Source organism: Homo sapiens, chromosome 2, assembly GCF_000001405.40.
Source record: "Homo sapiens chromosome 2, GRCh38.p14 Primary Assembly".
In the NCBI taxonomy this organism is placed as follows: Eukaryota; Metazoa; Chordata; class Mammalia; order Primates; family Hominidae; genus Homo; species Homo sapiens.
The window spans coordinates 174,234,642-174,259,764 of record NC_000002.12 but is presented as its reverse complement, the minus strand read 5'-3'; the positions used below and the strand labels follow the sequence as shown (position 1 = coordinate 174,259,764).

The window sequence follows — 25,123 nt, the reverse complement described above, 5'->3', positions numbered from 1 at the left end:
GGACTACAGGTGCACGCCACCACGCCCAGCTAATTTTTGTATTTTTAGTAGAGACGAGGTTTCACCATGTTGGCCAGGATGGTCTCGATCTCTTGACCTCATGATGTGCCCGCTTTGGCCTCCCAAAGTGCTGGGATTACAGGCGTGAGCCACTGCGCCCGGCCAGACTCTTAATTCTAATTTTAAATTTTTTCTTGATAGACACCTTGTGGGAGCATTGTTTTCCTTAGGATTGAAACTCACTTTTCTTTTTCCTTGTTAAGTAATCATTTTGTTTGTTAGTTGTTAAAAGGCAAGGGAAGAGAGCACTCTTCAATATTTTTTTCTGCAACAAGAGTTCTCCTAAATCACTATAGTAGCAATCTTCAAAGAGTTGCTCTCCAGAGAGTATGTGTTCCAAGAGATTTTAGTGCTCATTATATCAAGAAGGCTATACACATTTGGTAATTCTGGGTTAAGGGGTGTTAACAGATCTTTTTTTCCTGCAGAATTTCTCAAAACTTTAAATATACTAATATATATTATCAGTCTCCCAAAGGGGTTTTACAGCACTTCCTAAAGTTATCTGATCCTGGATCTCTTATTTCACAGAGCAACATGGAGTGTCATTGTTCCACAGAATACACTGTGGGAAATAATGTCTTATAACCTAAAACTACAGGTAAGAGGGGCCAGGTGTGGTGGCTCACACCTGTAATCCCAATACTAATGTGGGAGGCTTGAGGTGGGAGGCTTGAGGCCAGGAGTTCAAATCCAGCCTGGGCAACATGGCAAGACTCTTTCTACAAAAAAACAAACCAAAAGAAAAAACTACAGCTAAGAGGAACATTGGACCAATATGCCCCAAAACATATTAACAGTTTTCAGGAGAGTATACATTTTTGTTTGCTTTGGCCATTGCAACCATTGTCTGGCTATAAGAAACAGAAACCACTGCACATGTATTTAAATTGAAAATGGAAATTCTTGGTAGAACACAGTGCTATCTCACAGAGTCCGAGGCCAGAAAATACACAAGGCTTTAGGAGAACTAAACTCTGGAACCGGAAACTCAGAACTTGTGATGACTCTCTCCTCTCTCAGTTTCCCCAGGACCATACAGATGGTTGATTAAGTACCCTTCTTCCTCCCTGCATATTTTATTTTTCTCTTTCTTTAGAGTATCCACCTGTCAAGAAATTGTCTGACATGACCTGATCCTATGTTCCCTTTTAAGCAGCAGATATTATCTGTTGCTATGTTCTAAGTCCAGCTTCTATAGAGAAAGAGAATCTCAATTTGCACAGCTTGGGTCAGGTTTTCATCTATCCCTATCCAATCTACTGTAACTGGAGGGTTCATGTGCTATAAGCAGAAAAGCTTGGTCTCAGTTTGATGAGGAAAATTAACTCTTCTTAGAGTGAAGGGGTTATGGGATGATAGGCACCACCAAAGTCATGACTTCTAAGAATCATCTTAGGGCCGGGTGCAGTGGCTCACGCCTGTAATCCCAGCACTTTGGGAGGCTGAGGTGGGTGGATCACCTGAGGTCATAAGTTTGAGACCAGTCTGGCCAACATGGTGAAATCCCGTCTCTACTAAAAATACAAAATTAGCTGGGTGTGGTGGCACATGCCTGTCATCCCAGGTACTTCGGAGGTTCAGGCAGGAGAATGGCTTGAACCTGGGAGGCGGAGGCTGCAGTGAGTCGAGACTGTGCTATTGGCTCTAGCCTGGGCAACAAGAGCAAAACTCCAACTCAAAAAAAAAAAAAAAAAAAAAAAAAAACAAGACTCATCTTAGAAGGCTAGCCTTGATTATAGTATTTCATATATAGGTTAAGCATCCTAATCTGAAAACCTAAAATATTTCCAAATCTGAAACTTTAAAAAATTGACATACAATAATTCTGCATATTTGGCTGGGCACGGTGACTCAGGCCTGTAATCCCAGCACTTTGGGAGGCTGAAGTGGGCGGATCACCTGAGGTCAGGAGTTTGAGACCAGCCTGGCCAACATGGTGAAACCCCATCTCTACTAAAAATACAAAAATTAGTCGAGCGTGGTGGCACGTATCTGTAATCCCAGTTTACTTGGGAGGCTGAGGCAGGAGAATCACTTGAACCTCGGAGGTGGAGGTTTCAGTGAGCCAAAATTGTGCCATTGCACTCTAGCCTGGGTGACAGAGTGAGATTCCATCTCAAAAAAATAATAATAATTCTGCATATTTATGGGATACACACATTGATACATGTATACAATGTCTAAGGATCAAATTAGGGTAAGTGGGATGTCCATTACCCCAAATATTTATCATTTCTTTGTGTTGTGGACTTGCTTTTTTTTGAGATAGGATCTCGCTGTGTCGCCCAGGCTGGAGTGCAGTGATGCAATCACAATTCACTGCAGCCTCGAACTCCTGGGCTCAAGTGAGCCTCCTGCCTCAGCCTCCAGAGTAGCTGGTACTACAGGCATGCACCACCATGCCTGGCTAATTTTTAAATTTTTTTTCTTTCTTTCTTTTTTTTTTTTTTGAGACAGAATCTCACTCTGTCACCCAGGCTGGAGTGCAGTGGCACGATCTTGGCTCACTGCAAGCTCTGCCTCCTGGGTTCATGCCATTCTCCTGCCTCAGCCTCCTGAGTAGCTGGGACTACAGGCACCCGCCACCACGCCCGGCTAATTTTTTTTTTTTATTTTTAGTAGAGACGGGGTTTCACCATGTTAGCCAGGATGGTCTTGATCTCCTGACCTCGTGATCCCCCCGTCTCAGCCTCCCAAAGTGCTGGGATTACAGGCGTGAGCCACCGCGCCCAGCCTAATTTTTAAATTTTTTTGTAGAGATGGGTTCTTGCTATGTAGCTCAGGCTGATCTCAAACTCCTGGCCTCATGTGATGCTCCTAACTCAGACTTCTGAGTTGCTGGGATTACAAGTGTGAGCCAACGCCCCCAGCCTGAAACATACATTTTGTGTTTAGAGTTGGGTCCCCTCCCCAAGATATCTCATTACATATACGCAAATATTGCAAAATTTAAAGACATTTAAAATCTGAAACACTTCCGGTCCCAAGCATTTTGGATAAAGGATACCCAATGTGCATTACAATACCAAATTCATTCAGAAAGAATGTCCTTCACGAATCTATTTCTGAATGAATAGTGGGTTAGGCATTATCACTATTTATCAATACCTAATTTTCCTCTACTTCTGGGTACAAGGAGGATTCCCAGTCCCTTGAGGTTAGATGTGGCCATGTGATTTAACTTGGCCAATGACATGTTACATTTGGGTAACAGCACCTTGATATGGAAGGGTTTTGAGATGGAAGCATCCTGAAAAGTAATGGGCCAACTCATGGACAGCTGGCAGATCTCCAGTGGACTTAATGGAAGAAAAGAATTTTATTCTGTTAAGCCCCTCAAATTCTGGAGTTGTTTGCTATTATATTATTATATAGCCTATTCTGAGTAGTACAAGTATTCTTTGAAATGAACGACACAGGTTCAAAACTGCAATGAAAATGATACATTAAGCTGAGCTGATGTTGAGGCCATGAATTGGGTGACCTAGGCCCATGCACAAGATTCCCCAATTTCCAGCTCAACCGATGTGACCACTGTGACACCTTTTGGTAAGCAACCTTCCACTTCCATGATGGGAATTTTTAGTATCTTGTAAAGGTTAGTAGACATATTGTTTTCACATGCTGTCATTTTATAACACCATTAAGTGTTGTTAGAAGATGATCAGTTTTCTTCAATGTTTTCTCAGTGAACTAGGTGTGCCAACGTTTATCATATTACAATTTGTATATATCATATCAGATGACCACCAATGCCACTGATATTTTCCAGAATTACCATACTCTGCTCAATGTGTTATCTTGAAAAAATGGTTCAGGAAGTGAATATTGCTGGTGTCCTTTTCTTATACAACCCTGCTTTTGCTCAGATATCTATCCATACTTCACACAGCCATGTGCCTCAGAGGAAGTTGACTTCTCCTCTAGTCCCAAGGATGGACTAAATGGTCTAAGGGTAAGTTCATTTTCCCTGCCAGTGTCTGGTTCAGGCACAGGCATGAGACCCAATTTTGCCCAGTGAAATAGAAGAAGTTATCTGGAGAGATCTGAAACATGTTTCCCTTTTTACTAAAAGAGAGCTACTGAAAGAGATGGTCCCACTCTACCCCAATATTGTCATTCTGGTTATGCTGCCTAGAACTGCTATCATAGCTTGCTGTTAGCTTAAGAATAAAACCAGGGAAGCCCAAGGAAGACAGGGACATTATATGGAAAGAACTAGTCTCCTTGCAAATAGTGTTGAGCTATTGAATCTATCACCCTTGTTCTCCCGCTCTGTACTTTCTGTTATATATGATACATTTTCATTGAATCAAAACTTCTGTTATTTATATCTCAAAGTATTAGCTAGCTAATACAATGATAATATATTTACTTTCCTGGATTAGGATATGTCTTTTTATGTTGCCTCTGAGAAAATAATATATATAGTTTTCTTTTAAGAATTCCTAAATTGAGGCTGGTCATGGTGGCTCATGCCTGTAATTCCAGCACTTTGGGAGGCTGAGGAGGGAGGATTGCTTGAGCCCTAGTACTTTGAATGTAGACTGAGCAACATACTGAGACCCTGTCTCTACCAAAGAAAAATAAATTAGCTGGGTGTGGTGTTATGCACCTGTAGTCCCAGCTACTTGGGAGGCTGAGGTGGAAGGATCTCTTAAGCCCAGGAGTTCAAGGCTGCAGTGTGCTATGAACAGCCCTTGGTGAATAGCCACTGCACTTCTGTGAATAGCCACTCCATTCCAGCCTGGGCAACATAGGGAGACTTTGTATCTTAACAACAAGAACAAAATGATTCCTAAATTTTAAACCATGAATTACAATAGATATTACAAAACTCCAGCAGTTTCTAGGATACATGGCTCTTTTAATCAGCATTCTTTCAAATACTATGAGAAATTCTAGAATAGAAGCAATTGATTACTTGTGTTTTACTTCACTGGTAACTTATGGTCCAAATTCAATAACTCAAGAAACAGACTCTTCAAGCATAAGAATGACAATGGAAAATCTGGGCCGGGCACGGTGGCTCATGCCTGTAATCCCAGCACTTTGGGAGGCTTAGGAGGGTGGCTCAATTGACTCCAGGAGTTCGAGACTAGCCTGAGCAACATGGAGAAAACTCGCCTCTACAAAAAATACAAAAAAAAAAGGCCTGTCATGATGGGGCACACCTGTAGTCCCAGCTACTTGGGAGGCTGAGATAGGAGGATCGCTTGAGTCCAGGAGGTCGAGACCGCAGTGAGCTGTGATCTGGCCACTGCACTCCAGCCTGGGCAACAGAGCAAGACCCTGTCTCAAAAAAAAAAAAAGAAAGAAAGAAAATGGAAAATCTGTTTCTTTGCTGATGCCTAAGAGGGTCTGAGTATTGCTGGTGATGGAAAAGGAAAGGGGATGATGATTAGGCACTGCCTCGTACATAATATCAGAAGTTGTGAAGGTAAGTGAAAACCAAGATGGTTTATTTTAAACTTTCAAACTGTAGTTATTTAGGTATCCTTCTATATATTTTATCAGCTTCTTATATAATTATTTGTGTAGTCACTTATTTGTCTACTCCACTAGATTGCTAGCTCCTTCAGGGCAAGGATTATATATATATATATATATATATATATTACAAAACAAACAAACAAAACATATATATAATATATTAATATAAATATATATATTTATGAATATATAAATAAATATAAATATATAATATATTATATATTATATATATTATAAAATATATTATATATTATATATTATAATATATTATAAAATATATTATATATTATATATAATATATTATAAAATATATTATATATAAATATATATTTATGAATATATAAATAAATATAAATATATAATATATATAATATATTATATATATTATAAAATATATTATATATTATATATAATATATTATATATATTATAAAATATATTATATATTATATATAATATATTTTATATATTATAAAATATATTATATATAATATATAATATATTATATATATTATAAAATATATTATATATAATATATAATATATTATATATATTTTGTTTGTTTGTTTGTTTTGTTTTTTGCTTTTTTGAGATGGAGTCTCGCTCTGTCACCGAGGCTGGAGTGCAATAGTGTAATCTCGGCTCACTGCAAGCTCTGCCTCCTGGGTTCACACCATTCTCCTGCCTCAGCCTCCCAAGTAGCTGGGACTACAGGTGCCCGCCACCACGCCTGGCTAATTTTTTGTATTTGTAGTAGATATGGGGTTTCATCGTGTTAGCCAGGGTGGTCTCGATCTCCTGACCTCGTGATCCGCCCACCTCGGCCTCCCAAAGTGCTGGGATTACAGGAGTGAGCCACCGCACCCGGCCAATCATATTTATCTTATTCTTCACTACTCCAAGGCCTACAGCAATGCCTGGGATGGAGTAGGTGTTCAAGAACATAATTTTATATAAAAGACAATAACAAAAATGTTCAGAGTAGGATATTCTAAGCATATGGGACTATCCTAGTCCTTCATCTGAATTCTGGATATGATAGTAAGCTTAGTGTAGAGAGAGAAAAACATCTGATACAGGTAATAAAAGAAAAGTGCAATTTAAGTTAACTACCTATATAGGGTAGTTATTTTTGTGCACTTGTCCCCTTCCCCTCCTAAAGTTATTATCAGGACTCAATTTCCCTTTTAGTGTAGTTATTACTATTATTCTGTTTTCTGTTATGCCCCTCACAGATGTGGACGGGGCTGGCCAACAGGTGTAGTCAGGCCGTGCTAGCACATGGTGAATACGTTGCTGCTATTTTCCTCTTTTCCTTCTCATCCTCTCTCTTTGTGTACTCTTTCTGTCTCCTGTTGCTTAGCTTTCTGCACAGGATCAATAAATCTCTGAATTTCCAGCAGAGCTACTCTGTATTTGGGGATAAATTACTGACCCCAAGCCATTCTCTAGATCCTTTGTGACCTTAGGTCAACTCACTTGATCCCTGGTCATTGGCTGAGCCTGGTAAGGAAAGAAAAATCCAGAGAGGGTAACGATAGCAAAGAGTGAAACCATGGGCTCTACTTTTTTTCATTCCATTGATCTTTCCTTAGTAGCAACCTTCTGTTGACCTGACCTGATGGTCTATTCTCATTCCCCCTCTGACTGAAATCTTTTGCTCAGTTTTCATTCTAGACCACATCTGATTCTTTCCTCTAGGTTTAACTTAATCATTGAGCCCAATGGGTACTAAATAGACTTCCCTTTGTGCAAAGGCTCAAAAACATGCTTTCCTCTATTCAAAGTCCCTTTTTTAGGCTTGGCATTAGTGTTAACTATTTTTTTGTGTGTTTGTTTGTTTTTGTTTTTTTTTGAGACAGAGTTTTGCTCTTGTTGCCCAGGCTGGAGTGCAAAGGTGCAATCTCGGCTCACCGCAACCTCCGCCTCCCGGGTTCAAGCGATTCTCCTGCCTCAGCCTTCCCGAGTAGGTGGGATTACAGGCATGCGCCACCATGCCCAGCTAATTTTGTATTTTTAGTAGAGACGGGGTTTCTCCATGTTGGTCAGGCTGGTCTTGAACTCCCAACCTCCGATGATCCGCCCACCTTAGCCTCTCAAAGTGCTGGGATTACACGCATGAGCCACCGTGGCGGGGGCCAGTGTTAACTACTAATATCCTGTTTGTTTCACTGAGTCTTCCTTTAGCGTTGTAGAATAGTAGATACCCACTAGGGTCTTTTCTGAGAACTATGTGTTTCGTTGGTAGGCAGGGAGAGGTCACTCATACAGCTTTTTGACTATGTGACCCTTACCCACGTAGCCATTGCTGATGGGACCCTTGTTAGAACTTTACCAGAACTGGGCCAATCACATCTTCTTTCTTGTGAATACAAATTTACCCCCAGTGACAGTGAGTTGGAAATGGAGTCCTATTATCAGGCAAGTGTTGGCAGCACCAGCTGGCCACTCCTGAATACTGCCTGAGATTTGTGTAACCTGTTTTGGGAAGGCGCTTTAAAGGTGGTTAAAAGTGCAGGTAAGAAAGATGTAGTTATAGAGAAACAAGTGATTAAGAACTTGATAGTGTAGATTTAAGGAAATGGGTAGATCTGAGAGATTCTGATATTGAAGAAGTATCTAGATTTGGCCAAAAGACAGTGATAAGTTGAAGATGATTCTAGTACTCCATGACCGGGGAACATTTTCAATCAGTATTGGAGTGGCTGGTTGCTGGGCAGAGAGGGCTCTCTGGGATTCTTGAGTTTTTTTTTTTTTTTTTTTTTTTGAGATGGAGTCTTGCTCTATTGCTCGGGCTGGGGTGCAGTGGTGTGATCTTGGCTCACTACAGCCCCCGCCTCCCACGTTCAAGCGATTCTCCTGCCTCAGCCTCCCGAGTAGCTGAGATTACAGGTACCCGCCATCACACTCAGCTCATTTTTGTATTTTAAGTTGAGACGGGGTTTCATCATATTGGCCAGGCTGGTCTTGAACTCCTGGCCTCAGGTGATCTGCCTGCCTTGGCCTCCCAGAGTGCTGGAATTACAGGTGTGAGCCACCAGACCTGGCCTCTTGAGCTTTTTTTTTTTTTTTTTTTTGAGACGGTGTCTCGCTCTGTTGCCCAGGCTGGAGTGCAGTGGCGCAATCTCGGCTCACTGCAAGCTGCGCCTCCCGGGTTCATGCCATTCTCCTGCCTCAGCTTCTCCGAGTAGCAGGAACTACAGCTGCCCGCAACCACGCCCGGCTAATTTTTTGTATTTTTAGTAGAGACGGGGTTTCCCCAGGGTCTTGATCTCCTGACCTCGTGATCCGCCCGCCTCGGCCTCCCAAAGTGCTGGGATTACAAGCGTGAGCCACCGCACCCGGCAAGCTTTTTAAGTAATGGTTCCTCTCTATTTCCACAAGCAGCAGTGTGAATCCACTATAGAGCTTCATTACTAAAATATCAGTACATGATTCAGGAATCACTTTGAAGGGCTGTTCCTGAGAGTTATTTTCACAGTGGCCACAAAATTTGGGCTAGTTAGCCCTCTTTTTCATAGTTAAAGTGCACCAAGATAGCTGTTTTATACATATATAGTTTTGGTGACAAGGGTACTAGACCAAGAATATAAATAGGGCACATTAATATATAATATTAAGAAAAAGTAATACAAAACCAAATCAAGTTGCCTGTGTCCTTGAGAATTTCCAAAATTGTAGAGAAAGCTCTTTAACTCACCTCACTAGAGCACTGTTACAGGGCTAAGGAAAAGCCTTAATGCAATTTTATTATGAATACTGGCTCAGAGCTTATAGGGAGTCTCTATTTGAATGAATTCTCGTCTGGGTGCGGTGGCTCACGCCTGTAATCACAGCACTTTGGGAGGCCGAGGTGGGTGGATCACAAGGTCGGGAATTCGAGACCAGCCTGACCAACATGGTGAAACCCCGTCTCTACTAAAAATACAAAAATTAGCTGGGTGTGGTGGTGTGCACCTGTAATTCCAGCTACTTAGGAGGCTAAGGCAGGAGAATTGCTTGAACTCGGGAGGCGGAGGTTGCCGTGAGCCCAGATCACGCCACTGCACTCCAGCCTGGGCGACAGAGTGAGACTCCATCTCAAAAAATAAAAATGAATTCTCGCTGAAAGGAAACAGATTTTTCAGATAGTTTTAGTTTTACTTTTTATTTGTATTTATTTTGTTAGAGATAAGGTCTTGCTCTACACCCAGGCTAGAGTGCTGCGGCAGTGATCATAGCTCACTGCAACCTTGAGCTCTCAGGCTCAAGCCATCCTCTCACCTCAGCCTCCTGAGTAGCTGGGACTACAGGTATGTGCCACTACACCCAGCTAATTTTTGTTTTTTGGTAGAGATGGGGTCTCACCACGTTGTCCAGGCTGTTCTCCAACTCCTAGGCTCAACTGATCCCCCTATCTTGGCCTCCCAAAGTGCTGGGATTACGGCCAGATTTTCAGTTAGATTGTGGTTTGAAATATGCTGCTGCCATTTACTAGTTGTGTGACTTCATCCAAATTAATCAACCTTTCTGATATTGTTTCCTCACTTGTAAAATGGGGATGGCGACCTATTTACATCCTTTAATATTAATAGCAACTAATCCCTTTAAAAGGAGCTTCTAGTGTCACAATTTTTGGACAGGTATCATATTCATTACAACAAATACCTGAATGACATCTGAAGGCCAGGACCTAAATGAAAGAATTCCTTCTCCAGTGGCGCTCATGGTATTGATATGATGTGGGTGAGATGGGATGAAATCCTAATATTAACAACAGCGACTACTCACAAGCCTTTTCTGTATGTGCTGAGTACTGTTGTTATGAGCTCAACACGCATTGTCTCATTTTATTCTCACACGAATAACCTCATAAGGTGGTTTTAATAGCCTCATTTTATCCAGAACGAAATTGAAGTCCAGAGAAGTTAATTTGTCTAGGGTCATACAGTCAATGAGTGGCGAAATCCAGATTGGAAATTCCCAAATTTCAAAGGCCCCTGCTCTCAACTACCAAGAGGAAAAGGGGGGAAATTGGCTCAATTAAACGCATTCTGTGATCCAGTACCTGTGTGCGACGCTTTAACTATAAGGCGAGGAAGAAATCCCTAGACCAAAGTTTCCCTTAGCCCCTTTTCCTTCAAGAACTTTTAGTTAACAGCTTCTCTCCGCACAGACTGAGCGAATAAAGTTATAGAAAAGGGAGATGGGCTAGCGGCCACGCGGTCCTCGGGGCTGGTGTGGCTGTTTGCCTGACTTCAGACGCCCCGGATCTCCCGGAGGGAAGTCAGGGCCCAAGGCACTCCGCAGTCCAGCTGGGAAAGCTTGGGGCTGTAGGCCCGCGAGTGAACGTGAGCAGGTAACCCAGGCCGCGCAGCCAGACGGAAGCGGAGACCTAGAACCGAGAAGCCCACGTGCCGAAGCGGAAGACTAGAGCTCCCGGGAACGGCCTAGCCAGCGCCTTCCCCTCTCCAGCTCCCTGCCGCCGCGCGGCTCCTCCCACCCTGGGCTCCTCCCGCCCTACTCCCGCCTCCCCGGCCGGTTAGGCCAATGGGCGGGACGCGCGGGCAAGGCGGGGAGGGGCGGGGCCCATGGTCTGCGCGCAGGTGCCGCTCGGCGCCCGGCCCGCCCGTTCCGCCGCTGTCGCCGCCGTCGTGCGTGCCGCTCGGCGGAGGGGACGGGCCTGCGTTCTCTCCTCCTTCCTCCCCGCCTCCAGCTGCCGGCAGGACCTTTCTCTCGCTGCCGCTGGGACCCCGTGTCATCGCCCAGGCCGAGCACGGTGAGGCCCTCAGGGAGCCCGGGGGCGCGATCTCCGCCAGGTCTTCGGCGCCTGGGCTCATTGCCCTGAGGCTGGCGCGGGGCCCGGGCCCAGTGGCCAAGATGGGGCCAGGGCAGCGGGTGGCTTGGGGATGTGTGGATGAATGAGGCGCTGTCGGACTAGGCCGCGCGTCGGGAGATCGGCCTACGCCTCACGCGGGAAAGCCCTGGGGAAAGCCTTCTCCCGACGCCAGGACGCCCGGTGGCCCAGTCCGGAGAGGAGGATGGGGGGTGGGGCCCACTTTGGGTGGGCTGCCGGCCACCTCTCTGTAGGCCAGAGGACCCGACAGGCGCTGTTCCTGTATCTGTTCTTTGGAGGCCTGGGAGTTGGCCAGGAACAGGTGTCAGGACGCTGAGAAGGGAAATTCCTGGCCCTCGGGGTCAGGGATCAGAGGCTGGAATACTACTGCAAGGGCAGGGCCCCAGCGTGGTCCTAGGAGGTACAACTCTCAGCCAGAAGACTGGGACAGTTTTAGTTCCCAGCTTCTGAGACGTGAGCTTAGCGGTCTTTGTGATTTCACTTTGCAGTCCAAGGGTGGGAGTAATTCTGCACGCATGATTTGGAGACAGAACTAGTAAGGGACAGAGAAAGTTTCGACTTGTAAATAAAAAGGTTCCGTCGATTAATTTACCATTAGAAATAGTAACCATAATGTAGATTTTGGAGGTTGCTTATGAGGACTGATGAGCCGTACCTTCAGTGCCAAAGGTGGGAGGGACTTGGTGGAAGGACCCCAGTACCTGGTGGGTGTTCATCTATGTGAAAAATGGGGGTTGTGGGCGAATGGGAAAGATAAGATTCCAGATTATAGAGGAATGGTTTGGTGTGAAGGGTGACTTGGCTGCTGGTGGTTCCACAATGGAATTTTCTTTGACTGTCTTCTGTGTACTTGCTTCCAAATGCTTTCTTTCATATAACCATATATCAGGTTAAGATATAAAGTGTTTTGTGAGCAGTCTGGATGGAAGATTGGTAGCTAAACTCTAAGTTTATCTTTGATTCCTGGTGCCACAAATATTTTATTTATTTATTTATTTATTTAAGACAGAGCCTAGCTTTGTCGCTCAGGCAGAGCCCAGTGGCGTGATCTTGGCGCACCGCAACCTTCGCCTCCCGAGTTCAAGCAGTTCTCGAGCCTCAGCCTCCCGAGTAGCTGGAATTACAGGCTGCGCGCCTGATGGCCGGCTAATTTTTTTGTATTTGTTTTTCTTTTTAGTAGAGACGGGGTTTCTCCGTGTTGGCCAGGCTGGTCTCGACTCCTGGTCTCAAGCAGTCTGCCCACCTCGGCCTCCCCCTCCCAAAGTGCTGGGATTACAGGCCTGAGCCACCGTGCCCGGCCCAACAAATATTGATTTTAGATCAGTCTTTCTGGGACTTCTCAGCAATGACTCTTTTGACAACGGATATGTTTACAGAACTTTTTAAACATTTTTGCTGAAAAAAAAGTGGATTTAGCTCTGTGTTAGTTTTGGATCGCTATATACAGTATGTTTTGTTCTTAATCTTAATTCAATAATATATTGTATGTGATGAAATGTGTTTTGGGTCCATGTGGATAGTAAAAAGTTTTGTTCATATGTTTGCTTTGGTATTTCAGATGCCCCCTAAAAAGGGAGGTGATGGAATTAAACCACCCCCAATCATTGGAAGATTTGGAACCTCACTGAAAATTGGTATTGTTGGATTGCCAAATGTTGGGTAGGTGAACGTTGGGGCTTTTGTGATTTTCATTTTGTAAATATTTTGGGTCCTATTGTAGAAATGGGAACCGTGAGGTAATTAAACTTTAAGTTGAAGAAAAGAGGCCAGGAAGCTGGACTATTAATATTGCAAAATTAGGCTTTAGTTTAGATGTATTTTATTGATTTCAGTGCTGGTTGGCTATGTGTGGTACCTACATAGGCTGTCTACCAGAGGCCATGCAGTAGGCTACTTTAGGAAATTGATTTGAAAGCTCCACCATAATAAGCTTGATGGAGAAGGAGGTGACAGTTTTGAATTTCGTAGTGGAAATCGTAAAAGGTTTGCTGTTATAAAGAGTCTAAATCTGAAAGTTCTGAGAGCAGAAATTTGAGTTTTGTAATATTTTCTTTTCTTTTTCTTTTTTTTTTTTGAGATGGAGTCTCACTCTGTCGCCCAGGCTGGAATGCAGTGGCATGATCTTGACTCACTGCAACCTCTGCCTCCCGGGTTCAAGTGATTCTCCTGTCTCAGCTTCCTGAGTAGCTGGGATTACAGGCGCGCACCACCACGCCCAGCTAATTTTTGTATTTTTAGTAGAGACGGGGTTTCACCATGTTGGCCAGGCTGGTCTTGAACCCCTGACCTCATATGATCCACCTGCCTCAGCCTCTTATAGTGCTGGGATTACAGGCATGAGCCACTGAGCCCAGCTGTAATGTTTTCAAAGTTACAGTGAATTGAATATATGCAAATAAGAGAGTGATAGGAAATATATGTGGGGTTTATCATAACTCTATACACACGCAACTTAAGTGTTCAAAGTCTTCTTTTTTTTTGAGATGGAGTCTTGCTCTTTTGCCCAGGCTGGAGTGCAGTGACGTGATCTCAGCTCACTGCAGCCTCTGCCTCCCAGGTTCCAGCAATTATCCTGCCTCTGCCTCCCGGGTAGCTGGGATTACAGGCATGTGCCACCACGCCCGGCTAATTTTTCTATTTTTAGTAGAGACGGGGTTTTACCATGTTGGCCAGGCTGGTGTTGAACTCCTGACCTCAGGTGATCTGCCTGCCTTGGCTTCCCAAAGTGCTGGGATTACAGGTGTGAGCCACTGCACTGGGTCCAAGTGTTCCTTTTTCATTATTTATCCTTTCACTAACCTTAAAATATAAAACATCTCAAAAGTGATTAGGGTGTACTAATAGGTAGCAGATTCAGTGTGGATTTGTGAAAGTGATCAAGGGTGGCCTTTTAGATTGGTGGCAAGTAGGACAATCATGTTCTTAGGTATTCCGAGGAGCTCCTGTCATAGAGATTCCTCAATGAACAGAGCATGGCGTGACCAAGTGAGGCATGTCTTAAATTCATGTAATGTAAAACATGAGCAAGTGTGGCTGTCCTGATTTCAGTCTTTCCTGGAGCTTGAAGAGGTTTTCATTTTGAAGGGGTTTCCTGCTGTGATATAGTCTGCTTGCAGAGTAAGACTAAGTAGAGAGTTGAAATGTAAGCAAAACAAATAATTAATCAAAATACTGTAGGGTGCTATCAATAAACGTGAAAGCAAGCTATGATCATTATTTATGTTGTGAGCTTTATTGCACTAGTAAGGAAGTTAAGTTTTGAGATATTGACATACTTCTCATTCTAGAATTGTTGCAGTTACTACAACTTGATTTTAAATGGGACTATATTAAAATGGGCCATATTAAGTGTTTTCTGTACATATAGGCAACCCTCTGTATCTGTGGTTTCACATCCTTGGATTCAACCAATCTCAAATCAAAAATATTTTTTTAAAAAATTGGCTGGGCATGGTGATTCATGCCTGTAATCTCAGCACTTTGGGAGGCCGAGGTGGGTGGATCACTTGAGGTCAGGAGCTTGAAACCAGCCTGGCCAACATGGCGAAACCCCATCTCTACTTTAAAAAAACACAACAAAAATTAGCCGGACATGGTGGCAGGAGCCTGTAATTCCAGATACTCGGGAGGCTGGGGCAGGAGAAACAGCTTGAGCCCGGGGGGTGGAGGTTGCAGTGAGCCAAGGTCCCGCCACTGCACCCCAGCCTGGGTGACAGAGCGAGACTCCGTCTCAAAAAAAAAAAATTTTTTTTTAATTAAATAAAAAATGAGAATATAACAGTAAAAAAAATAGTAAACAACTATTTACCTATCATTTACATTGCATTAGGTATTATACTACACCATTGTATATAAGGGACTCAATCTGCTGGAATCTTAGAACCAATCCCCTGCAGCTATGGAGGGACGACCATAGCTTTTTAGTCATAGAGCATAATGAAATTAATGTACGTGGAAGTAACCTAAAAATATTTTATTATTCAGAATAAGTGTGTGTGCTGTTTACACTTTTAAATAAAATGCTTTCCCCTCCCAGTGTCATTGAGGTATACTTCACAAATAGTAAAATTCACTCATTTTAAAGGTACAGTTTAATGAGTTTCGGCAATTGTATTTGGTTGTAAACACTACTTTTTGTAGAATGATCTTACTTCACACAACTGTATCAGGTAGGATTCTTTGTAAGCAACACAATTCTGGCTGTTTTCAGCAGGAAAAAGAGGTTTATTGGAATAAGTGAATTACAATCTGAACAGCCAGGCCTCAAGAGGGATAAGAGCCAAGTGGTGCTGGCAGAAATGGGTCCATGTGGAGCTCAGCCATGTGAATCCCTGGATTTCTGGGTGTTTCTCATTTCCTGTCTCTCCTGTAATTCCAATTCCTGAGTAAGGAAATCCGACCGGACTTGTGTGCTTCTGTATAGATCTACAAGATATAGATTGTGGGAGGGAGACGGTTCTCTAAAGGATGGCCTGCTGATCAAAAGTAAGGACATTCAGTACAAAACCATCTAGAGAATCTCTTGGTTTTTAGCTGGGTGAATAGGAAGGCTTACTTTTTAGTCTGCATAAGGCTGATGACCCAGAAACTTAGAGGTAATATTTATAGCTAATCAGATATTGAACATTTACTATATGCCAATCGCTATTTTGAGTACTTTATATATATTATCTAATTTAATAAGTGGTTTGACATTCCCCTCCATTGCAATTTAAATTCTGTGAAGGTAGGAAGGTACCGATTGTCTCGTTCTTGCTTATTGGTATATTTCTAGTGCCTAGACTGGTGTTAGAAACATAGTAGATATTTAGTAATTATTTGTTAACGGGACACGATGGTGTTAGGAACATAGTAGATATTTAGTAATTATTTGTTAATGGGATACATATTTCCCCTTTGACGGCTGGATGTAGATTTAGTGATAAGGAGACATGTTTTTGTTTTTTGAACAAGATTTTATTCTCTTGCCCAGGCTGGAGTGCGGTGGCATGATCATGGCTCACTGCAGCCTAAATCTCCCGGGCTCAAGCAGTCCCTACTCCTCAGCCTCCTGAATAGCTGGAACTGCAGGCACACAAAACACCGTGCCTGGTTAATTTTTGTATTGTTTGTAGATGGAGTTTCACCATGCTGCCCTGAGGCTGGTTTCACAGCCTGACCAGCGTGGTGAAACCCCATCTCTACTAAAAATACAAAAATTAGCCAGGTGTGGTGGCACGCCCCTGTAATCCCAGCTACTCAGGAGGCTGAGGCAGGAGAATTGCTTCAACCTGGGAGGCGGAGGTATCAGTGAGCTGAGATCGCGCCACTGCACTCTAGCCTGGGTGACAGAGCGAGACTCCATCTGAAAAAAAAAACAACAAAAACACAAAAAAGCCTGTCTCCTTGCCCCGTGTGGTGGCTCACGCCTGCTGGAATTACAGGTGTGAGCCACCGTGCTGGGCAATTAAATGACCTCTTTTAATGAAGTAGAAAGAATATGGAGATTTGGTTTCTAGTTCTGTACTGCTTTTTCTTACCTGAGTGACCCTTTATAAATGAGCTCCTGTTGGAGCAGTGTATTATTGTGGTTGTGAGGCTTAGAGAATATTGGGGGCGAAAGTACGTTTTGATACAGTGTTCCAAACTTCTTTATTTCTGTGAGGGATAGCTCTTCTTGTTGCTATCCACTGCATCAGATGGGATTAGGTTCAATTAAGAGCATCAGAAAACCCCAGATAACCAGTTTTTTTTCTTCATGTAAAAATGTACATTTTGCAGTCATAGCTTGGTATAGTGGACCTGCTTTATGAAGTCCTCAGGAACCCATGCTCCTTTCACTTCACAGCTTGGCAATCCCTAGGATGTGGCCTCATCCTCATGGTCTAGAGCTAGGGTTCCCGAACCTCATGCTGGGGACTGGTACCGATCTGTGGCGTGTGAAGAACCAGGCTGCATGGCAGGAGGCGAGCAGCAGGCGAGTGAGCATTCCCACCTTAGCTCCACCTCCGGTCAGGTCAGCAGCAGCATTCGATTCTCAGAGGAGCGCAGGCCCTGTTGTGAACTGCGCATGCAAGAGATCTAGGTTGCACGCTCCTTATGAGAATCGAACTAATGCCTGATGATCTAAAATGGGGCAGTTTCATCCTGAAACCATCCCCCACACCCTTGGTCCGTGGAAAAATTGGCTTCCATCAGCCAATTCACGGTCCAGTCCCTGGTGCCAAAAAGGTTGGCGGCTGCTGGTCTAAGGTGTTGTGAATTCCAGGCAGCTGGTTATCCGAAGGGTCAGGGGGCCAAACTTGACTAGCAGCCTTTTTCCTGTAAACTGCCATACCATACTTCTGCCAACATCCCTTTGTCCAGAATTTAGTCACAAGAATTTAGTTGCAAGGAAGGCAAGGAAATGTAGTCTTTATTTTGACAGCCACATGTTTGGTTAAAAATTCTGTTACTCTTGGCTGGGTGCAGAGGCTCACGCCTGTAATCCCAGCACTTTGGGAGGCTGAGGCAAGCGGATCACTTGAGGTCAGGAGTTTGAGAACAGGCTGGCCAACATGGTGAAACCCCATGTCTACTAAAAATACAAAAATTACCTGGGTGTGGTGGCGCACGCCTCTAATCCCAGCTACTCGGGAGGCCGAGGCAGGAGAATGGCTTGAACCTGGGAGGCAGAGGTTGCAGTGAACCAAGATTGTGCCACTGCACTCCAACCTGGGCCACAGAGTGCGACTCTGTCTTAAAAAGAAAAAACAAAAAACGATTACTCTGAAAGAAGGGGAAAATGGATATTATGGGCAACTAGTATACTGTGTTCAAACACTCACAAACTGCCCCAGGAGAGTAATTGTCTTGTTTAGCTGATCCTTCTGGGAATGCATTTTGGTGTCCCTGCAAATTGCCTTCTCCCAAATTTCTGCAGACCAATCACAGCGTCTGTGAAAGCCATTTACCATTGCTGAGGGAAAAGGTTGTAGAAAATGCTAAAAAAAAGAAAAAATCACAAGAGAATTATCACCATTGTATAGTTATCTGTTGATGTGTAGCAAACCATTCCAAAAGTTCATGGTTTAAAATAGTAACAATTTTTGTTCGTCGGGAATGTAGTGAGTTAGAAAGGTCTTCTGCCAGTCTCATTGGGATCCCTCATGTGACTGCATTCAGCTGGTGGCTAGTTGAGACTGAAAGATCCAAGATGGCCATTTTAACAGATCTGGGGCCTTAGCTGGATTGACTGGAAGTCTGGGGCACTTCTCTTATACTTGGCCTCATTCTCTTTCTAAGTGGTCTCTAGACCAAGCTTCCTTATATCTTGGCGTCTGGCTCTCGAGAGAATGGAGGTGTGGCAGTGGCATAGCAAACTTACACAGAAATCTTTTGGTCAAGGCAAGTCATGACACCAGCCCAGAGACATGGGGAGAGGGGAAATAGACTCTACCTCTTGATGGGAGGAGTGACAAAAAATGTGTGGCCATCTTCAATCCACTGCAGTCCACTATTTTCCTGATACAAAATATGTGATGTCTATGTGTTCCTAGAAGTCTGCCTAGTTGATTCTTAGCTCACTTGTGTTTTAGAAGCTCCATTCTTGATTGCTCAAAGGAACTCACAGGAGGAAAATTATTCTCTAGGCTGCAAATACTGATGATCTGAGTATTTTCATTCTAAAGAGCTGATAAAATTAAGCTAAGAGTCAGATTCCCATGTCTACCGAGAAGACAGGTATCTATGGATATCAGAGATATCTCTTGATGGCTTGTGATTTTGAGCATCTTTCCATATGTTATTGGATATCTTATGTAAAAAGTCTTTTTTTTTCTTAATGATTAGTTTTTTATTCTGGATATGAGTTCTTTGTTGGATATGTATTACAATGATCTCTTGCCAGTTTGCTTGACTTTTCACTTAAGATTAAATTAAAAAAAAATTTGAGCTGGTCTCAGTGGTGCCCACATGTAGTCTCAGCTACTCAGGAGGTTGAGGTAGGAGGATACCTTGAGCCCAGGAGTTCTGGGCTGTGTTGTGCTATGCTGATTGGGTGTCTGCAACGCCACCCACAGTGGTGATCCAGTGTCAGCACTAAGTTCAGCATCAATATGGTGACCTATCAGGAGTGGAGGATCACTAGGTTGTCTAAGGAGGGTGAACTGGTCCAGGTCAAAAACAGAGCAGATCAAAACTCCTGTCCTGATGGGTAGTGAGATCTCTGAATAGCCACTACACTCTAGCCTGGACAATATAGTAAGACCCATATGGAAAAAAAATTTCTTTTGAAATAATTTCATGCTTAAAAAAACTCACAGTTGCAAAAATAGTTTTAAAAATTCCTATTTAACCTCTGCTTGGATCCCCTAAGTGTTAAAATCTTTATAACTATAATACAATGATCAAAATCAGGAAATAAACATTGATTTACTAATTGTCCCTCTAATGTCCTTTTTTTGGTCCAAGATTCAATCCATAATTGTATGTTGCATTTAATTGTTTTTTGTTTTTTTTTTGAGATAGAGTCTCGCTCTGTCATCCAGGCTGGAGTACCTTGGCCTGATCATAGCTCACTGCAGCCTCAAATTCCTGGGCTCAAGTGATGCTTCCACCTCAGCCACCTGAATAGCTGGGACTGCAGGCACATTTTATTATGTCAGGCTAATTTTTAACTTTTTTTTTTTTTTTTTTTTTTGTAGAGATGGGTTCTCACTATGTTGCCCAGGCTGGTCTCAAACTCCTGGCCTCAAGTGATCCTCCCACCTCGTCCTTCCAAGTGCTGGGATTATATGCATGAGCCACTGTGCCCAGCTGCATTTAAGTGTTTTGTTTCCTTAGTTTCCTTTAACCTGGAACACATTCTCAGTCTCTTTTTGTGTTTGATATCCTTGACACTTTTGAAGAGTACTGGCCAGTTATTATGTACAGCTCTCATTTGGGGTTTGTCTGATGTTTCCTCATAATTAATTTCAAGTTATGTACTTTTGAGCACATAAGTGACATATGCTTTTCAATACAGTGTATTAGAAAGCACATGATGTTGATTTGTCCATTTTTGGTGATATTAACTTTGATTGCTCGTTGGTATCTGACAGATTTCTTCACTGAAAGGGTTATTTTTCCCATTGCAATTAATAAGCATCTTGTAGGGGGTCCTTTGAAATTTTGTACATATATTGTTTCTCATACTTTTGCCCCCTAATTTTGGCATGTGTTATTGATTCTTACTGAAACAGTTATTATTGTGGTGTTTGCCAAATGGTGATTAAAAAATATCCCTTATTTCTTCTACATTTAGAAGAAACAATTTGTAGAAGGAACAATGGAACTTCTATTGTGTAAAATCCTATTGTACAAAAGAGTTTCCCATTTATTCATGTATTTGATTATAATTTATTTATATCAGTATAGATTCTTAATTTATTCTTTTGGTTATAATCCATTACTGTTGTTATTTTGTCACTCTAATTGCCCATATTTGGTGATTAGGAGCCTTTATGTTCACTTATATTCCTTTTGACATGTCCTCTTTATTTTTTGAGTGCTTTCTACTTTCTGACACCACAGTATCTTTCAGTTATATACAACATATTTTATATTTCAGTACAATATGTTATTTGTACTCTGTCTGCTTCAGCCTTAGGATACATAAATTTTTATTTAGATATATGATTTTATTTCTCTTAGGTATATATTTAGAAGTAGAATTTCTGGGTCACATGTGACTGTATATTTAACTATTGAGGACTGCCAAACTGTTTTCCAAAGTGGCTGCACCATTTTATGTGCGCACAGGTGGTGTATGTGGGTTCCAATATTTCACATCCTTGTCAACATTTGTTGTTATCTTTTTGATTATAGCCAAGTTGTGAAGTTTTTGATTGGTGTTTTTTCTCTTTTTTTTTTTTTTTTTTTGGACATAGAGTCTCACTCTGTTGCCCAGGCTGGAGTTCTGTGGCACAGTCTTGGCTCACTGCAGCCTCCACCTCCTGGGTTCAAGTGATTCTCCTGCCTCAGCCTCCTAAGTAACAGGGATTATAGGCATGCGCCACCACCAGGTAATTTTTGTATTTTTAATAGAGCCAGGATTTCACCATGTTGACCCAGGCTGGTCTCAAACTCCTGACCTCAGGTGATCCGCCTGCCTCCGCCTCCCAAAGTGCTGGGATTACAGGTATGAGCCACCGTGGCTGGCCAATTGGTGTTTTCTTGATGGCTAAGAATATTGACATCTTTTCATGTGCTTATCACTTCTTCATTTTGAAAGATATTTTCACTGGGTAGAATTCTAGGTTAACAGTTATTCTTCTAGTGCTTTGAAGATAATCTTCTACTTTATTCCCTTTCTGGGATGCCTATTACAGACAAGTGCTGCATAATGATGTTGGTCAATGACTGACTGCATATATGACGGAGGTCCCATGAGATTATAATGGAGGTGAAAATTTTCTATCACCTGGTGATACTGTAGTTGTGGTAATTTCATAGTGCAAGGCATTACTCACGTTTGTGGTGATGCTAGTGTAAACAAGCCTGTGCTGCCAGTCATATAAAAGTATAGCATATACAATTATGTACAGTACGTAATACTTGATAATAAATGACAGTTACTGGCTTATGTATTTACTATAGTTAATTTTTGTTTGTTTGTTTTTTGAGACAGAGTCTTGCTCCATTGCCCAGGCTGGAGTGTAGTTGCCTGATCATAGCTTACTGCAGCCTAGAGCTCCTGGGCTCAAGCAATCCTCCTGCCTCAGCCACCTGAGTATAGCTGTGACTACAGGCACACGCCACCCCACCTGAGTAATTAAAAAGATATATTTTTGTAGAGATGGGGACTTCCTGTGTTGCCTAGGCTGGTCTTGAACTCCTGGCTTCAAGCGATCTCTTTGCCTCAGTCTCTTTGTGCTGGGATTACAGGCATTAGCCTCCATGCCCAGCCTATACTGTAATTTTTATGGTTACTTTAGAGTGTACTCTTTCTACTTATAAAAAAAAAAAGTAACTGTAAAACAGCCGTTGGCAGTTCCTTCAGGAGGTATTCCAGAAGGAAGCATTGTTATCATAGGAGATGACAGCTCCATGTGTGTTATTGCCCCTGAAAACCTTCCTGTGGGACAAAATGTGTAGGTGGAAGACAGTGATATTCATGATCAGACTCCATGTAGGCCTGGGTTAATGTATGTGTTTATGTCTCGGTGTTTAACAAAAAAGTTTTTAAAAAAAGCACACATTTTAAAGATATAAAAAAGCATATGGAATAAGGATATAAAGAAAAAATATTTTTGTACAGCTATACAGTGTATTTGTATTTTAAGCTAAGTGTTATTACAAAAGAGTCAGTAAGTTAAAATTAAAGTTGATAAAGTAAAAAGTATTGGTAAGCTAAGGCTAATTTATTGAAGAAAGAAAAATATTAAAAAATAATTTTAGTGTATCCTGAATGTACAATGTTCATAAAGTCTACAGTAGTGTGCAGTAATGTCCTAGGCCCTCACATTCACTCACCATCACTCATTGACTCACCCAGAGCACCTTCCAGGCCTGCAAGCTCCACTCATGGTAAGCGTCCTATTTCACTTTTATATGTATTTTTACTGTTCCTTTTCTATGTTTAGATATATAGTACCTGCCATTGTGTTACATTTGTCTACAGTGTTCAGTACAGTAACATGCTGTACAGGTTTAGCCTAGAAGCAATAGGCTATCCCATATAGCCTAGGTGTGTAGTAGGCTGTACCATCTAGGTTTGTGTAAATATACTCTGTAATGTTCGCACGATGATGAAATTGCCTAAGGACCCATTTCTCAGAATGTATCTCCATCATTAAGCGATGTATGGCTGTAAATGCATGTTCTTCCCTAGATAGTATCCTGCTGAAGCTCTGGTTATTTCTTTCTCCAGTCTTTTTCTCTCTTTGTGCTTCATTTGGATACTTTTATTGCTGTCTTCAAGGTCTTTTGCTTGCAGTGTCCAATCTTCTGTTAATCATGTCCAGTGTATTTTTCATTTCAATTTCATTTTATTTCAAATATTGTATCTTTTTAACAATAATTTTATTTGGATATTATGTGTTTCATTTTCTTCCTCACTGTCTTTATATTAGCTTTTATATCCTTAAGAAAAATTTTAAAAGATTTGTAACATTTATTTTAAGGTCCTTTTATGCTACTTCATCTCTCATTACTATATTTGTATTTACTGACTTTTATCCTGATTTTGGTATATATATTTCTGCTTTTTTGCATGTCTTATAATTTTTATTGGATTCTATACACTGTGGATTTTATGTTAAATGCTAAATATTGTTGTTTTCCTTTAAAGAGTGTTGGACCTCGGTATGGCATTTAGTTATTTATGTATCAGATTAATTGTTTTGAGTCTTCTTATGATGGATTAATATGATTTTGTGCTCTGGTGCTACTTAAGCCCTAGTACTAAGACTTGACCCTTTTGAGGACTCTATCCAAATTCCCTTGTATTACAGGATCTCTCCACTGTGGCTCATAGGAATGTGAACTGTTCCAATCTCCATGTGAGCCCTGAGAACTGTTCATCCTACTCTGTTTGGGTGGTTCTTTCCCTGGACTTGTAGTGATTGAATTTACTCATGCGCAAATCATTACTTAGCTGCGTTCTTGAGGGGACCCTCTGCAGCTCTTCAGAGCGTTTTCTCTGTGCAGCTCCCACCTTTCTAGTATACTCTCCCATAAATTCTAGCTGCCTTGGCCTCCTAACTCTCATCTTAGTCTCTTCAACTTGGTGTGACTACTGGGTTCTGTTGGTTTCCCCTCTTGGAATGGTGACTTTGAAAGCATCAGTAGGCAGTAAGCTGGAGCAATTGTAGAGCTTAGTTTATTTGTTATTCTTCTCTCAGGGAACACAGTCCTGTGATGCATATTGTCCTTTGTGTGAAAACTATTATTTCATAGATTTTTGTCTGGTTTTCTAGCTCTTTGTAGCAGGAGGGCAGTTCTTGTAGCAGAGGGGAAGCAAAACTCCCCAAAACCATTTTAAATGAATTTAAATCTTACTGTCTGCTTGTCAATATTCCAGAATGCCTGTTCTTTCATAGAAATCTATGATTTGGGACTTATTTACTTTCTCTTTTTAATATGTTCTGAATGATCTTTTTGAATAACAGATCTGTTTTCCTAATCACTCTTTCCTAGTATTCAGCAGTAACTGTGTGCCTTAGAGGTACTTCATAGATTAATGGGTTTTACGTTTTATTTATTTATTTTTTTCCCAAGACAAAGTCTCGCTCTGTTGCCCGGGCTGGAGTGCAGTGGTGCGATCTCCACTCACTGCAACCTCTGCCTCCTGGGTTCAAGCAATTCTCCTACCGCAGCCTCCCACGTAGCTGCGATTACAGGCATGTGCCACCATGCCTGGCTAATTTTTGTATTTTTAGTAGAGATGGGCTTTCATCATACTGACCAGGTTGGTCTTAAACTCCTGACCTCAAGTGATCTGCCCGCCTCTGCCTTCCAAAATGCTGGGATTACAGGCTTGGGCTACCATGCCCCGCCTAGTTTTAAAATTTTAAATGAGTTTCTTTTTCAGAATTCTAATCTAGTCTGTATTGCTGTATCACCACATAATTTCAAATAATTTTTTTTTTTCTCCTTAAGGTACAGTTGAGGGCTGGGCATGGTGACTCATACCCATAATCCCAGCACTTTACGAGGCTGAAGCTGGCAGATTGCTTGAGTTTAGGAGATGAAGACCAGCCTGTGCAACAGGGTGAAACCCTGTCTCTACAAA

The 25,123-nt window shown here is 42.1% G+C and overlaps 1 protein-coding gene and 1 pseudogene across 3 annotated transcripts in view, besides 1 other annotated feature; both read left to right on the top strand.

The window, feature by feature from the left end:
• Nucleotides 10,928-11,447: a silencer, noted in NCBI's record as "silent region_12124". NCBI's record gives its function as "represses an Ori minimal core promoter by ATAC-STARR-seq in GM12878 lymphoblastoid cells {active_cell/tissue: GM12878}" and the evidence as "EXISTENCE:reporter gene assay evidence [ECO:0000049][PMID:35858748]".
• Nucleotides 11,233-25,123, top strand: part of OLA1 (Obg like ATPase 1) — a 176,086-nt gene continuing 162,195 nt past the window's right edge. For 2 of the 3 annotated variants that reach the window (NM_001328688.2, NM_013341.5), the window contains exons 1-2: nt 11,233-11,313; nt 12,950-13,050. In NM_001328688.2, coding sequence (NP_001315617.1) covers nt 12,950-13,050 — 101 coding nt within the window. In that variant the 5' untranslated portion in view covers nt 11,233-11,313. The remainder of the gene's footprint in view (nt 11,314-12,949; nt 13,051-25,123) is intronic. The other variant, NM_001011708.3, reaches the window with a different exon arrangement.
• Nucleotides 19,308-19,622, top strand: RN7SL65P (RNA, 7SL, cytoplasmic 65, pseudogene; annotated as a pseudogene).